General features: G+C 38.3%; 2 annotated features.

Moving 5' to 3' along the window:
* Positions 1,202-1,736: an enhancer, noted in NCBI's record as "NANOG hESC enhancer chr3:188674939-188675473 (GRCh37/hg19 assembly coordinates)". NCBI's record gives its function as "activates a minimal SCP1, AML or CMV promoter by ChIP-STARR-seq in primed H9 embryonic stem cells {active_cell/tissue: H9 hESC(primed)}" and the evidence as "EXISTENCE:reporter gene assay evidence [ECO:0000049][PMID:30033119]".
* Positions 1,252-1,546: a silencer, noted in NCBI's record as "tiled region #8956; HepG2 Repressive non-DNase unmatched - State 13:Ctcf". NCBI's record gives its function as "represses a minimal TATA promoter and a strong SV40 promoter by Sharpr-MPRA in HepG2 cells {active_cell/tissue: HepG2}" and the evidence as "EXISTENCE:reporter gene assay evidence [ECO:0000049][PMID:27701403]".

Genomic DNA, 15,487 nt, shown 5'->3' on the forward strand with positions numbered 1-15,487 from the left:
ATTCTATAGTGCCATTGGGAGCTGCTGCCTGAATCTCCGTGTAATTTCAAAGAGTTTCCTAACTCAGACCCTGTCCCATTTCACTGTATCCTTAAGAGGCTGAGAAACGGGGCATTCAGATTCTTTCCCCATGCTGACTCTTCATTCTGTTTACACATGGGCCGGCCAGATGCTAGAGAAAAAAAAACAAACATTTGCAGCTGTTATCAGGGGTAGGATAGAGCACATGAGGTTCCCAAGTTTTGATCCAACACATCAGAACACACTTGATTTTTACTCTGGCTTGGAGTTTACTGCCTTCAGCTTCTTCTACAAAGCCTGAATGTTGCCATTTCATGTCAAAACCTGCACTGAGAGATGCCGATGGCTTCTTGAGCTAACTTCAGCCCATCACCGCAGTGGTCTAGATGACCAAGGAAGTGACTGCTTCATTACAGCTTGAGGGGACCCTCTTTCTTCATCCCCCACTTTCACTTTTTTTTTTTTTTTAAATGAAAAGGCCGATGGTTCTCCCAAGTAGCCAGAGGCCAGCAGGAGCACTAAGTAAGAGACAGCAAGAAGTGTTCTTAGTGAGAACAATGTGGACTTTGGAGTTATGTAAAACCCAATTTTAATCCTGGCCCAGCCATTGACTGGCAGTTTGATTTTGAGTTATTTAAGTTGGAACCTTATTTTTCTTGCTTATTTATTGAACTATTAATTGAAAAAGTGATTCTAGTCCTAGACCCCTATTTGACAGCTAGAGAAATGAGACATGAACTGATACATGCTCAGATAAATACATTTCTTACTCAGAGGATAATAGTCAATGATTAATAGTTTCCACTGAGACATCACAAATAAGAAATAGATTGAAATTACATTTGAAGGATCTAGGTTAGATATCAAAAACTTCCTTGGAAGGGAGCATCATGAAACCTCTATTTCTTAGAAATCTTTAAGAATATAATAGTCACACATGTTGAATGAGTTTAAATGAAGCATTACTTACCAGGATAGACGACCTCTCTAGTTTTTCCCCAGTTAAAAAATCCAAGACTTGGGTTCCTTCTTTCAAGAGGAGTAATGTAAAAAGTCTGACCCCTAGTGGTCATCGTCTCTGCATTGGACCTAAGGGAAAAAGGCCAAAAAGAATGATAACAACCAGACTTTGTTTTGGAATTAAAAACGAACCTTAGAAATGTGAGAGTCAAATTGTCTAATTCTAAAACAAGGGAACTTAGACCAAATGACTACAAATATTTCCCCAACACCAGCGACTCTGGAGTAAAGCTTGTTATGGAACTCAGGACCTTTTGCTGGTGCTCTGGGTTCAAGATCCAATCGCTTCATCTTCCAGAGTCTCCCACCTGGAATCAGCCTCTTGGTGACATAGAAACAGCAGGTATATGCTGATTCGACTTTCAGGGCACAGGATTCAGTCCGCATTCTTTCCTTTTCTTTCGTGATGAGGAGCACTTAATTGTTCAGTAGATGTAACTCTCTCTCAGGTAACCAACCTAAGTTCTCCATTCCCTTTGTACATTCTGACAGATGCTCATAGCATGCTAAGTGCTCATGGGTGGTAGGCTGCTTTCTAGTTTCCTGATGTCTGTCTTCTCCCATTAATCAAATCTGATGCATACAAAGAACCAGCTGATTTTTTCCTCAAACCCGTTTATGCTACTTTTATTAGTAAATGCAATTATATAATTTAAATATTATGCAAATAGATGAAATATAAGTATAAAAATAAAGAGACTGTGTCCATAAAAATTAAATTGATTGCTTTGGAAAGGCTCAAGAGGGAAGAATTGCTGAAAAAATGATCTAAAATTAGTTTGTGGATGAGATAACTGTAGAAGAATAACACAAAGATTAAAATCCAGAATAATTGTGCAAGTTTCTAAGGTTTTTATCTGCTACAAAGAACAAAAGAAAAGAAAACAAAAACAAAAATACCTGAAACTTCAACTAATAGAGGATGCATGATGGGAGTGATTTATTCAAGAAAAATGAGATGGAGCTTCACAAATGGAAAATGTGCACTTAAAGAGAGGCCTTGGCTCTACCTACTGGCAAGTGAAAGTCTTAAGTTAAAATATATGTATTTATATGATTCCTAGCTTTAGCCAAAATTTCTGATTAGCTGACACTGAACTGTAATAGGTGAAAGTATTTCTTTAGTATTAAGATTCAGATATCAGAGTGAGATCCAGGAAAACTGGTTTACTTAATATCTCCTGAGTGCTAATCTCCTGAGGATTTGGTCTTTCAACAATTCCTGTAAGATCCGTTTTTATTTCCATAAGTCTCCTTTTTGCAGGCACTTTCCGCAGATCCTTTTCCCCTTGACAGTAAGTAAGCTTTGTCTCTGAACTAGGCCCCAAGAATTCAGCTTTCAAACCCTCTGTTAAATTAATGTTTGTTCACTTTAGCAATTCAGTAATAGTCACTCAGGATCTAGAACAAGATCCAATGTTTGATGTCTTAAGATTTGAACAGTGTAGGGCCATATGTGGACACTATCAATATTACATCTTGCTTTTTCAAAATGTAAAAGCCATAAACATGGACACACTCGTTGTAGCCTTGTCTTCTGGGGAATGCATGTTATAGAAATAATATGCTGTGCAAAGATGTTCATTGCAGCATTATGTGTAATAGCAAATACACTAGAAGCAACTTAAATATTTAGCAACAAGGTAATCATTTTATTGTGATATTTTAGCCAAATACACTAGAAGCAACTTAAATATTTAGCAACAAGGTAATCATTTTATTGTGATATTTTGGCCAAGTATCATTTGGTGGTTATTGCTCGTCACTCATGTAGTAATTACAATGACTCTGTTGGAATGAAGGAAAAAAGTCCAAAAAAATAAGAACAGGCCAGACTTTGTTTTTGGAATTAGAAATGAACCTTGAAAATTTCATAGTCAAATTCTGTAATTCTAAAATATAACTATTATCAATAAGGAAAATTGTTCATGATAGTATTTTAAGTGAAGAAAGAAAAATACAAAATGGAATGAACTTCACAATTACCAACTTTGTAAATAAAGGTATGAAATGTATGAACGGGGAAAGATTTAAGGCTTTACCTTTTGCTAATTTTTCTTTTCTGTTTTATTCTTTCGATGATTGTAAAACCCCACATTATGCAATAATTCACCAGTTTTTCAACACTGGCATCCTGGGAGGCCTTGAGGTGCCTGGGATTTGACTTAAAGTTGGCTAGAACCACAGGATCACCCCTCTAGAGGAGTGAGGATTAGGCAAGAGCTCACTCAATTATAGGTGGACTGGGTTGGAAAGTACCTTTGAGATCATTAAGATGAATTATACCACTTAAAAGCAATTTGATCTTGAATAAGTTACTTGTCTTTGCTAAACCTCAGTTTCCTTACCTGAAAAGTGGCATAATAAAAGTATCTGTGCCTGAGTTTTGTGGTGAGGTTTAAATGATATAAATGCAGTAGATGGCACAGAGTAAGCTCTCAGTACATGTTAGTTATTGATATCACAGAAGCCAGTGGTTGAGCCAGGGCCAGAATTCACTTTTTTCAACTTCCTTACTGGGGCTTTTTCTGTCACACTATGTCATAGATCTTTCATCTTTACCCAGACTAAAATCCTTTGCTTTCGTGAGCACCGGGTAAGAGAAAGCTTATTCCGATAATACTGAGGATACTGTGACTTTACATAACTCTTGTCTATCAGGTGACCAATAGCATACACTATAGTCAGAACTACCTGTTAAAATGGCCAGAGATATCATAAGGAAAGGGTGCCTACTGAACTGAAAGCATGCCTTAAATAAGACAGAACTGGGCTCAACTTCTACAACAGTGTATGTCCTGCTCGAGTTCTTATTCTGCATTTGTTTTTATGAGCCTCAGTTTTCTTATTGGATAAATGAAAATCATTCTTCTTATACGGATGAAATATGAGTTGCCACATGTAAAATGCAATGCAATTCAAAGTAGTGATTTTTAAAAATTATTTTATTAAAAAAGTTATATTGTATGTTTTATGTGCTAGGCATTATTCCAAGGGATTTATAACAATTAATTCATTGAATGGATTCCTTATAGCAATTCTATGAGGCAGGTACTATCATTATTGTTGCTTTACTCAGGGAGGCACAGGAATGTTGAGTAACTTATCCAACATCACAGAAGTTGTGAGTGGTGGAGCTGAGGTTTGAACCTAGACATTCTGGCCACAGAATCCATGCACAGCCCTCATGCTGCCTTATTATCACTGAAACAGCTTTGGCCTAAGAGAAACCAAAGTCAAATATAAATTCTAGAATCTGTTCTTCTTTCTTACAAGGTCCCATTCAGTTTAGTTCAGTCCCATCCACGGCAATCTGATTCACTCCAATTCATTTCAGTTTAATTCATTTCAGCTCAAGAAATATTTTTTTGAATGTTTAGTTTGCATCAATAGCCACTGTGTTTGGCATTGTGAGGGAGGAGTAGGACCCAAGAAACTTGCAATTTGATGGGGAAGCATAAATCACATATAAAAATGATGGTGAAATATGCAGTGGAGAAGGCAGTTTCAAGAAAGAACTTCAAATCTGGAACTGTGAGGATCAGGGTCAGCGTGCTTTATCAAGTTTCTCCTCTCTACTGCTCATTGAATGAAAACTGACCCATTCGTGGGGTCAGACAGGGTCTCCTGGAACCACAGAGTGTGGGTAGAGGACAAGTTGAAACATAGGTACTCTGGACTCCTGAAAAGCAGAGGATCTTAGACTGGGCTTATGTCTTCAACAGTGAGACCATTGCCCTCTGTCTAGTTCCAGCCGGAGTGGCTGACAGCCTCCGGCTGCCATTTTAAGCTAAGATGAAGCCATTTCAGTGGCCTGGTATATATGATTCTTCGTTCTCCCTCTCTTACTAAGCTTTTCGAGGAAAATCTGCCTATTGATGTGGGATTTTCTATTTTTTGATTATTAAAGGAGGCAGTTTATATACAACATCTTGCACAGGTCCGACCCATCGTTAGTGCATGTAAGGGGGCAAATGTTACCCTAAACCTTTGTAATCTGACCACATCCCCTAGTCAAATGGCTCACAAGCCTGACTGTGTATGACAGTCATTTTCCTCTTTTAGGGAGCTCTATATTCCTGTTCCAGGATGAAAACCGGGAAAACCCAGCCAAAGCATCTAAGATCATGCTCTTGCTTGTTTAGTGGCCACACTGCATGGAATTTGAGTATTCCCCATGGGTAAACTGCTCCCTTACACAACACCTTTGACGTTACACTATTAAAAAGGCTTGCATATTAAAATTTGAGGCATGTGTAAATACCTCATAATTAACTGCTGTCTATTTAACCAGACAGCTCTAGCAAGTTAATTTGATGTCTGTTATGAGACTTAATAATTGTCAGTGATTTTTTTAAACAATTTACTGGTATAATCATTAACTACTCCTAGATTATCTTGTCAAATTGATAATTAAATGGCTCAAAAATTCATTACAGAGTTAGTATATTAATGGGAATGTAATTAAATAATGTTTGCTTATGTAATCTAGAGTTTATTACCTGTACACTTATTTATTTTTTCTATACTTTATTAAATCTTCTAGAGGCCTTTTCAAAATTGATAGAAAACCAAGAGTCAATAAATGTCTTATTAGATCCAAATAAGCCACTTAATCGAGATACTGAAATAAATATGGATTCTCCATATATGTGGAGAGGTAGGAGAAATCATTACTATCTCATATAGGATTATCTTTGGGAAAATAAAGTTCCTTTCCTTCCTTGTTCTGTTTCCTCCTGCTTCCCTTCTCCCTCCCTTCCTTCCATCCTTCCTTCCTTTCTTTCTTCCCCTCTCCTCTCTCTCCTTCTTTCTTTCTCTCCCTTCCACCTTCCATTTCTTTTTTCTCCCTCCCTTCTTCCTTTCCTCTTTTGGGGGAAAAAAAAAGAAAAGCTCTTTTCTTTCTTTCGTCAGACATTTAAGTGCCTGCTATTTGCTGGCCATCGTGTAAGATACTGAGGCTATAGAAGGCATGATTTTGGTCTAATGTAGTGAAGGAGAAAGACCTGTAAAAAATTGCAATGCAACATGCTTAATGCAACCCTAGAGGCCAGTACAAAGTGGTAAGGGAACACAGAGGAAGGAACAGCTATCTGTACTGGTAGTCAGGGAAGATTTCTCAGAGAGATTAACCTCTGTGCTTGCCAGAGAATAGGAGGTAGGAGTTTGCCAGGGGGAAAAAGTTAGAGAGGGGCATTCAAGGTAGAGGGAATAGTGTGTACAACAGCCTAGAGACAGAGAACATGAAGCATTCATGAGTGAGATGGAAAGGGATGAATTTTAAGCTGCTGAATGTCAAGATCGGAGCCGTGCTTTTCGAAGGATAACCTTGGATGATAGAGTAGGGATTTCAGTAGCTCTCATTTATACAATTATGATGTTCCATGGCTTGTTCTGATATCCTTGAGTTCTCAAGATATGTGTACAAATTGCGGTTTGCCTGGCCCTGCCCTTTTCCACCCACCTGCCTTGTGGTGATCATAGTGTGGTCAGGGTTTTGGTTTTACAGGTTTCAGTGAATATCAGCGCCTTTGTCACCGTAAAGTTATTCATACTTGTCAGATTACATATTCAAATTTTGAGTTTGATAAATAAGATCACAACATATTTCAACCTGGGTCACCTAAAAATACTAATACTTAGTTTAGTTATTCTCGGGCATGCTGTGATGTACCCAGGAGGAACAGAAATCAAACTCAAGGATGTTTGGTTATATGAACAACTCTGGATAAAATGTAGAAGGGAATGGGCCTTAAATTAACGACTTTGTGAGTTTTCAAGCCCCTGGATAGAATCCAGCCTTTCATAACCTTCTTATCCTTCATGACTACTGAGATATGCAAGAGTCAGTAATAGTATTTTTGTTCCTTTCCAAGTGTCAATCACCATAAAAGTTACTGCCTACCTGGCATTGCTCCTGGCTAGATAGCTGGATGATTTTGGTGAGGAAGAAAAAAAAAGAGATACAAGGTAGAAATAAAACTGCACTCTAGAATTTAAAATTATCTCGGCTATACTCAGCAAGTAGGAATGTGTTCAGAGTCTCTGGAGACGTTTTTTCATGATGCTTGGAAATCAATTTCATATCCTAATGCTGTTCTCAAGTTCAGGCTCATGGAAAAATCTGCTTGGAGGGCTCTCCTTGCCCTGGAAATAAGAATGGTACATTTCCGATACCCATGTTCTCTGCCTGTGCCAGGCTCTCCTTGCCCTGGAAATAGGAATGGTACATTTCCGGTACCCGTGTTCTCTGCCTGTGCCAGGCCTCCTTAAATGATATGAACTGTGGCTAGCAATGTTTTAAAATGACCAAAATCATCACATTAGATGATCACCTTAGACAAGGTCAGAGGTGATCCAAGTCAATGGCTAAGTAATCCTGAGGGTACAAAATTCTCTAAACTTTGAGCCTGAAAGAACTTAGATGTAAGCGACAAAAGACACTGCAAAGTAGCTTTACCTAAAAAAAAAAAGTATACATTTGTGGAAAGCAGAACTTCAAAACTCCACTCTGGAACCTCTTCTGAAATATCTGCAGGTTTGACCAGAGAAGTAATTCACGCTGTCAAAGCTTTAAACTGAGATGATAGATGATATGCTCTTGAGGGCAAATATGGGAGTGAAGGCTGGACATGAATCTGATAACCAGCCACTTACTAAGTTAATAACAGGACAAGTGACCTTGTTTCTCAGGGCCTTACTTTCCTCATGTATAAAATGGGGATAATAGTCCCAAGCCCACCCATCTCACATCACTGCTGGGAGGAGCAAATGAGACCATGGATGTAACATACCTTATAAATAGGTCGTGACGTATTGCATACATGGAAGAGGTTGTATTATGGTTAGAACTAAAAGGCTGTATATATTTCAGAGGCAAATATTCAGATTCAAGGCATGTGGTTAGAGGGAGGTACTGCCTTGTCTATCAGAGCCTGGTTTCCAAGTGCTGATCAATAGACTTACAGAATTCTTTTCTCTGAGAGCGGTTGCCCCTCCAGGAATTCCTCCTTGGAGGCAGTTATTGTATTTGGCTGCTGACCTGTGTGTATCCTCAGTTACTGTGTGAGCTCCGCGAGTGTAGGGACCATGACTATTGTAGGAGCATAGCACAATGGTGAAATGTGCAGGATTTGGGGCCAGGCGACCTGGGCCAGTCCTAGTTCCTGGCTTTTCTGCTTATCCACCATCTGGCTTTGGGTGAATTATTGAACTTCTTCAAGTCTTAGTTTTCTCACCTCTGATATGAAGATAATAAATATACCTACCTCATAGTGATGTAAAAAAGATTAAATGAGTTGGTATATGTCAAATCTGGAACATAGAAAGTGCTTAAGGAATGCTGGGTATTTATTATTATTTTTATTTGTTACTGTTGTTGTTCCCTTCATATTTCTAGTGCTTAGAACAATGTTATGTTATGAATAACATAACAGTTATTCAACAAACAGATAATGAAAGACTGCAAAAGAAAGTCTGCATCCCAGCAGATACTTACACCAGGATTAATGAATCCTAAGGGTCAGAAAAAAATGGAAAAGGACTGAATCATGTGGGTTGGGTTTGCAAACTTTAAGGCCTATTTTGACATTTTGTCTTTACCAATAACAAAAACACATCTACTATACTGAATATTGGTATAACAAAGAATTCTAAATAATTTTTAAGGCCAGTGTCTTACTAGATTCCCACACCAACCTTGTGCGGGAAAGTATTATTATACTATCCACTTTGTAGATAAGGAAATAGAGATTCAGAGAGAGGAAATATCTTGTCTGACCATCACACATCTGGTAAACAGAGGTGCTGAAATTAGAAGTTGGTCTTCTGGCTCATTGTTCGTTCCTCTTCCTGGGAACGAACGCAAAGCTAATTCATCCTGGCACTGCGTCTCTGACAGAGGCGATGGAGGGCATTTTGCGGAAGAGCCTGGTTTGTCTCCCTGACTGCAACAACCAAATTAGGAGTGTAGCTCCTAGATATCTAGATTCCCTACAGTCATTCATTAAGAATCTCTCACCTGTGAGTTTAGCTAAGGCTTTGTGAAGCTCATTTTCAGCTCAGCCTATACCTTGGTTTTGAATCCTATTTTCCTTGGCATATGAAATGTGCGTCACCTTCATTGCTCTGGGTTTTCCCCGGTGAAAGCTTAGCCGATACAACCAGTCCCTGCTCTGAGCATGGAAACCGGAAGCCCTGAAGGTTTTTTCAACGTAGGCTATTTAGGCAAACTAGACATTGCAGTTTAATTACACCATTGCTCAACTTCATAGATCCTTCAGATTGCCTTCAGAGAAAAACATTTCTCTCAATAATTCAAACCCCTGATAATTTCCTCTGAGAAATTACCAGCAGATTGCAAAAACAGCATAGTTATTCACTACGTGACCTTTTCTTCAGTCCCATTGTCTTGTACCGCTCTGCAGCATTGCATATTTTTGACAATTTTACCTCTAGTACCTCTTGAAATTTAACGTTACTCTGGTTCTCCTATACCTGCATCCTGGCCTTCTCTAAAAACTTCGTAGCTTTTTCCTTCTCTACCTTATAACTTTGGACATTTCCCTAAGTCTAAACCTGTGGTCCTCCGTTTTTTCTTCTCTTTTTTTCTTTCTTTTTCACCTGCTCTGCCAGTGTTGTGCTAGGCACTAGGAAACAAAGACATGTGAAACATCATATCTAACCTCAAGGTTAGATACTGACCAACAAATGCTACCTCATTAGGTATATCTTACTGTTATATTAACTTTATATATGGGCTAAACTTGTCTCCTGTACTTGATTGTAAATTCCCTGAAACAAGGATGGGTGCCACTGGATTCAGAACAGGAGTAAGATATTTGAACTCTGACTCAGGTACCTACTGGCTACCACAGTCTAGTAGAGGGCCAATGGATGTCTGAACAAAGACCTCTAAGTTTAATACACTTTTGTGCTTTGATAGGAGTAGCTGGGACTTGAGTTGAGGGAGAAGTATAGTAAACTGTGAAGGACAGATAAGTCGCTATGAAAGAGATCTTCAAAGATGTCTTAAAAGATGAGTAGGTGCTCCTCATTCAGACAAGGAAAGGAAGGAGAGTTGAAATCAGAGTACAATTTTGGCTTTTGTTGCCATTGCTTTTGGTGTTTTAGACATGAAGTCCTTGCCCATGCCTATGCCCTGCATGGTATGGCCTAGGTTTTCTTCTAGGATTTTTATGGTTTTGGGTCTGACATGTAAGTCTTTAATCCATCTTGAATTAATTTTTGTATAAGGTGTAAGGAAAGGATCCAGTTTCAGCTTTCTACATATGGCTAGCCAGTTTTCCCAGCACCATTTATTAAATAGGGAATCCTTTCCCCATTTCTTGTTTTTGTCAGGTTTGTCAAAGATCAGATAGTTGTAGATATGTGGCATTATTTCTGAGGGCTCTGTTCTGTTTCATTGGTCTATATCTCTGTTTTGGTACCAGTACCATGCTGTTTTGGTTACTGTAGCCTTGTAGTATAGTTTGAAGTCAGGTAGCGTGATGCCTCCAGCTTTGTTCTTTTGGCTTAGGATTGACTTGGCGATGCAGGCTCTTTTTTGGTTCCATATGAACTTTAAAGTAGTTTTTTTCCAATTCTGTGAAGAAAGTCATTGGTAGCTTGATGGGGATGGCATTAAATCTATAAATTACCTTGGGCAGTATGGCCATTTTCATGATATTGATTCTTCCTACCCATGAGCATGGAATGTTCTTCCATTTGTTTGTATCCTCTTTTATTTCATTGAGCAGTGGTTTGTAGTTCTCCTTGAAGAGGTCCTTTGCCTCCCTTGTAAATTGGATTTGTAAGTATTTTATTCTCTTTGAAGCAATTGTGAATGGGAGTTCACTCATGATTTGGTTCTCTGTCTGTTATTGGTGTATAAGAATGCTTGTGATTTTTGCACATTGATTTTGTATCCCGAGACTTTGCTGAAGTTGCTTGTCAGCTTAAGGAGATTTTGGGCTGAGATGATGGGGTTTTCTAGATATACAATCATGTCATCTGCAAACAGGGACAATTTGACTTCCTCTTTTCCTAATTGAATACCCTTTATTTCCTTCTCCTGCCTGATTGCCCTGGCCAGGACTTCCAACACTATGTTGAATAGGAGTGGTGAGAGAGGGCATCCCTGTCTTGTGTCAGTTTTCAAAGGGAATGCTTCCAGTTTTTGCCCATTCAGTATGATATTGGCTGTGGGTTTGTCATAGTTAGCTCTTATTATTTTGAGATACGTCCCATCAATACCTAATTTATTGAGAGTTTTTAGCATGAAGGTTGTTGAATTTCATCAAAGGCCTTTTCTGCATTTATTGAGATAATCATGTGGTTTTTGTCATTGGTTCTGTTTATATGCTGGATTACATTTATTGATTTGCGCATGTTGAACCAGCTTTGCATCCCAGGGATGAAGCCCACTTGCTCATGGTGGATAAGCTTTTAGATGTGCTGCTGGATTTGGTTTGCCAGTATTTTATTGAGGATTTTTGCATCAATGTTCATCAAGGATATTGGTCTAAAATTCTCTTTTTTTGTTGTGTCTCTGCCTGGCTTTGGTATCAGGATGATGCTGGCCTCATAAAATGAGTTAGAGAGGATTCCCTCTTTTTCTATTGATTGGAATAATTTCAGAAGGAATGGCACTGGCTCCTCCTTGTACCTCTGGTAGAATTTGGCTGTGAATCCATCTGGTCCTGGACTTTTTTTGGTTGGTAAGCTATTAATTATTGCCTAAATTTCAGAGCCTGTTATTGGTCTATTCAGAGATTCAACTTCTTCCTGGTTTAGTCTTGGGAGGGTGTATGTGTCGAGGAATTTATCCATTTCTTCTAGATTTTCTAGTTTATTTGCCAAATGGGATCTAATTAAACTAAAGAGCTTCTGCACAGCAAAAGAAACTACCATCAGAATGAACAGGCAACCTACAGAATGGGAGAAAATTTTTGCAATCTACTCATCTAACAAAGGGCTAATATCCAGAATTTACAATGAACTCAAACAAATTTACAAGAAAAAAAAACCATCAACAAGTGGGCAAAGGATATGAACAGACACTTCTCAAAAGAAGACATTTATGCAGCCAAAAGACACATGAAAAAATGCTCATCATCACTGGCCATCAGAGAAATGCAAATCAAAACCACAATGAGATACCATCTCACACCAGTTAGAATGGTGATCATTAAAAAGTCAGGAAACAACAGGTGCTGGAGAGGATGTGGAGAAATAGGAACACCTTTACACTGTTGGTGGGACTGTAGACTAGTTCAACCATTGTGGAAGTCAGTGTGGCGATTCCTCAGGGATCTAGAACTAGAAATACCATTTGATCCAGCCATCCCATTACTGGGTATATACCCAAAGGACTATAAATCATGCTGCTATAAAGACACATGTACACGTATGTTTATAGCGGCACTATTCACAATAGCAAAGACTTGGAACCAACCCAAATGTCCAACAATGATAGACTGGATTAAGAAAATGTGGCACATATACACCATGGAATACTATGCAGCCATAAAAAAGGATGAGTTCATGTCCTTTGTAGGGACATGGATGAAGCTGGAAACCATCATTCTCAGCAAACTATCGCAAGGACAAAAAACCAAACACCGCATGTTCTCACTCATAGGTGGGAACTGAACAATGAGAACACTTGGACACAGGAAGGGGAACATCACACACTGGGGCCTGTTGTGGGGTGGGGGAGGGGGAAGGGATAGCATTAGGAGATATACCTAATGTTAAATGACGAGTTAATGGGTGCAGCACACCAACATGGCACATGTATACGTATGTAACAAACCTGCACGTTGTGCACATGTACCCTAAAACTTAAAGTATAATAATAATAAAAAAAGAACAACAATAACAACAAAAAAGAAATCAGAGTACAGCTTGTACAAAAGAACCAAGGGAAGAAACTTTGAGTTTCGTTTTCTAAATCTGTGAAGTGGAGGTAAAAATACTTATGTTGCAATGTTGTTGAAAGCATTGGCAATGCTGTGTATAAACAGAGCCTGAAAGTTAGTAGATAATCAAGGAATGACCGATAATAATAATAATAACAAACCCCCTTTTCTTACCAATCTTGCTTTTTTTTTTTTTTGTAAAAAGATGAGATTGGAATAGAAAATTTTAAAGGCCTTTCCGAATCTCATACCCCAACATGTTGTAAAATCCTCTGGGGAAATTTATCAACGGTGCCATCCCTTCTCCCCTGTATATTCCCCTAATGCTGGCCATGCCTCAGCATTGTCTACCCTCTGAACACACGAAGGGACCATCAGTTTTACTGACCAACAAATGCTACCTCATTAGTTATATCTTACTGTTATATTAACTTTATATACGGGCTAAACTTGTCTCCTGTACTTGATTGTAATTTCCCTGAAACAAAATGGGTGCCACTGGATTCAGAATAGGAATAAGATATTTGAACTCTGACTCAGGTACCTACTGGCTACCGCAGCTTGGGTAAATTGATTAACGTCCATTTTTTCATGTATTAAATGGGGAGCACGCTAATGGCCACTTTTAAAAATTATTATGAAGTTTAAATGAAATAATTCATACGATGGTACTTTGTAAACTATACAAAATTATAAATATAGTAATTTTATATTGCATTTATTTCTATATCTATATTAATGAGGACTCTTGATTGCCACTAACAGAAACCCAACACAAAGAAGGCTAAGCAGAAAAGCATATTTGGGGAATATAACTGAATAATTTCAACAAATACTAAGTAAGAAAATCAGAACTATGCATGTCTTCTCTCAGCTATGGTTCTTCTATGTAGATTTCTTGTTTTTTTCTTTTTCTTTTTTTCCATCCCTTTACTTTGACTCCGTAAACGTCTTTACCAGTTAGGTGGGTTTCTTTATGTAGCACATGGTTGGATTTTTTAAAAAATTATTTATTTATTTATTTTTATTATACTTTAAGTTCTGGGATACATGTGCAGAACGTGCAGGTTTGTTAAATAGGTATACATGTGCCATGATGGTTTGCTGCACTCATCAGCCCGTCATCTACATTAGTTATTTCTCCTAATGCTATCCCTCCCATAGCCCCCCACCCTCCAACAGGCCCCGGTGTGTGATGTTCCCCTCCCTATGTCCACATGTTCTCATTTCAACTCCCACTTCAAGTTTCAACTCCGACTTCTGATTGAGAACATGCAGTGTTTGGTTTTCTGTTCCTGTGTTAGTTTGCTGAGAATGATGGTATCCAGCTTCATCCATGTCCCTGCAAAGGACATGAACTCATTCTTTTTTATCATTACATAGTATTCCATGGTGTGTATGTGCCACATTTTCTTTATCCAGTGTAACATTGGTGGGCATTTGGGTTGATTCCAAGTCTTTGCTTTTGTGAATAGTGCTGCAATAAACATACATGTGCATGTGTCTTTATAGTAGAATGATTTATAATCCTTTGAGTACACACCCAGTAATGGGATATTTGGGTCAAATGTTATTTCTAGTTCTAGATCCTTGAGGAATCGTCACACTTTCTTCCACAATGGTCGAACTAATTTACATTCCCACAAACAGTGTAAAAGCATTCCTATTTCTCCACATCCTCTCCAGCATCTGTTGTTTCCTGATTTTTTAATGATCGCCATCCTAACTGGCATGAGATGGTATCTCATTGTGGTTTTGATTTGCATTTCTCTAATGACCAGTGATGACAAGCTTTTCTTCATATATTTATTGGTTGCATAAATGTCTTCTTTTGAGAAGTGTCTGTTCATACCCTTTGCCTACTTTTTGATAGGGTTGTTTGTTTTTTTCTTGTAAATTTGCTTAAGTTCCTTGTAGAGTCTGGATATTAGCCCTTTGTCAGATGCATAGATTACAAAAATTTTCTCCCATTCTGTAGGTTGCCTGTTCACTCTGATGATAGTTTCTTTTGCTGTGCGGAAGCTCTTTAATTAGATCCCATTTGACAATTTTGGCTTTTGCTGCAATTGCTTTTGGTGATGAAGTCATGAAGTCTTTGCACATGCCTGTGTCCTGAAGGGTATTGCCTAGGTTTTCTTCTAGGGTTTTTATGGTCTTAGGTCTTATGTTTAAATCTTTAATCCATCTTGAGTTGATTTTTGTATAAGGTGTAAAGAAGGGGTCCAGTTTCAGTTTTCTGCATACGGCTAGCCAGTTTTCCCATCACCATTTATTAAACAGGGAATCCTTTCCCCATTGCTTGTTTTTGTCAGGTTTGTCAAAGATCAAATGCTTGTAGATGTGTGGTGTTATTTCTGAGGGCTCTGTTCTGTTTCGTTGTTCTATATATCTGTTTTGGTACCAGTACCATGCTGTTTTGGTTATTGTAGCCTTGTAGTATAGTTTGAAGTCAGATAGCCTGATCCCTCCAGCTTTGTTCTTTTTGCTTAGGATTGTCTTGGCTACAGGGTCTTTTTTAATTCCAT

Source organism: Homo sapiens, chromosome 3 (assembly GCF_000001405.40).
Source record: "Homo sapiens chromosome 3, GRCh38.p14 Primary Assembly".
NCBI classification, from domain to species: Eukaryota; Metazoa; Chordata; class Mammalia; order Primates; family Hominidae; genus Homo; species Homo sapiens.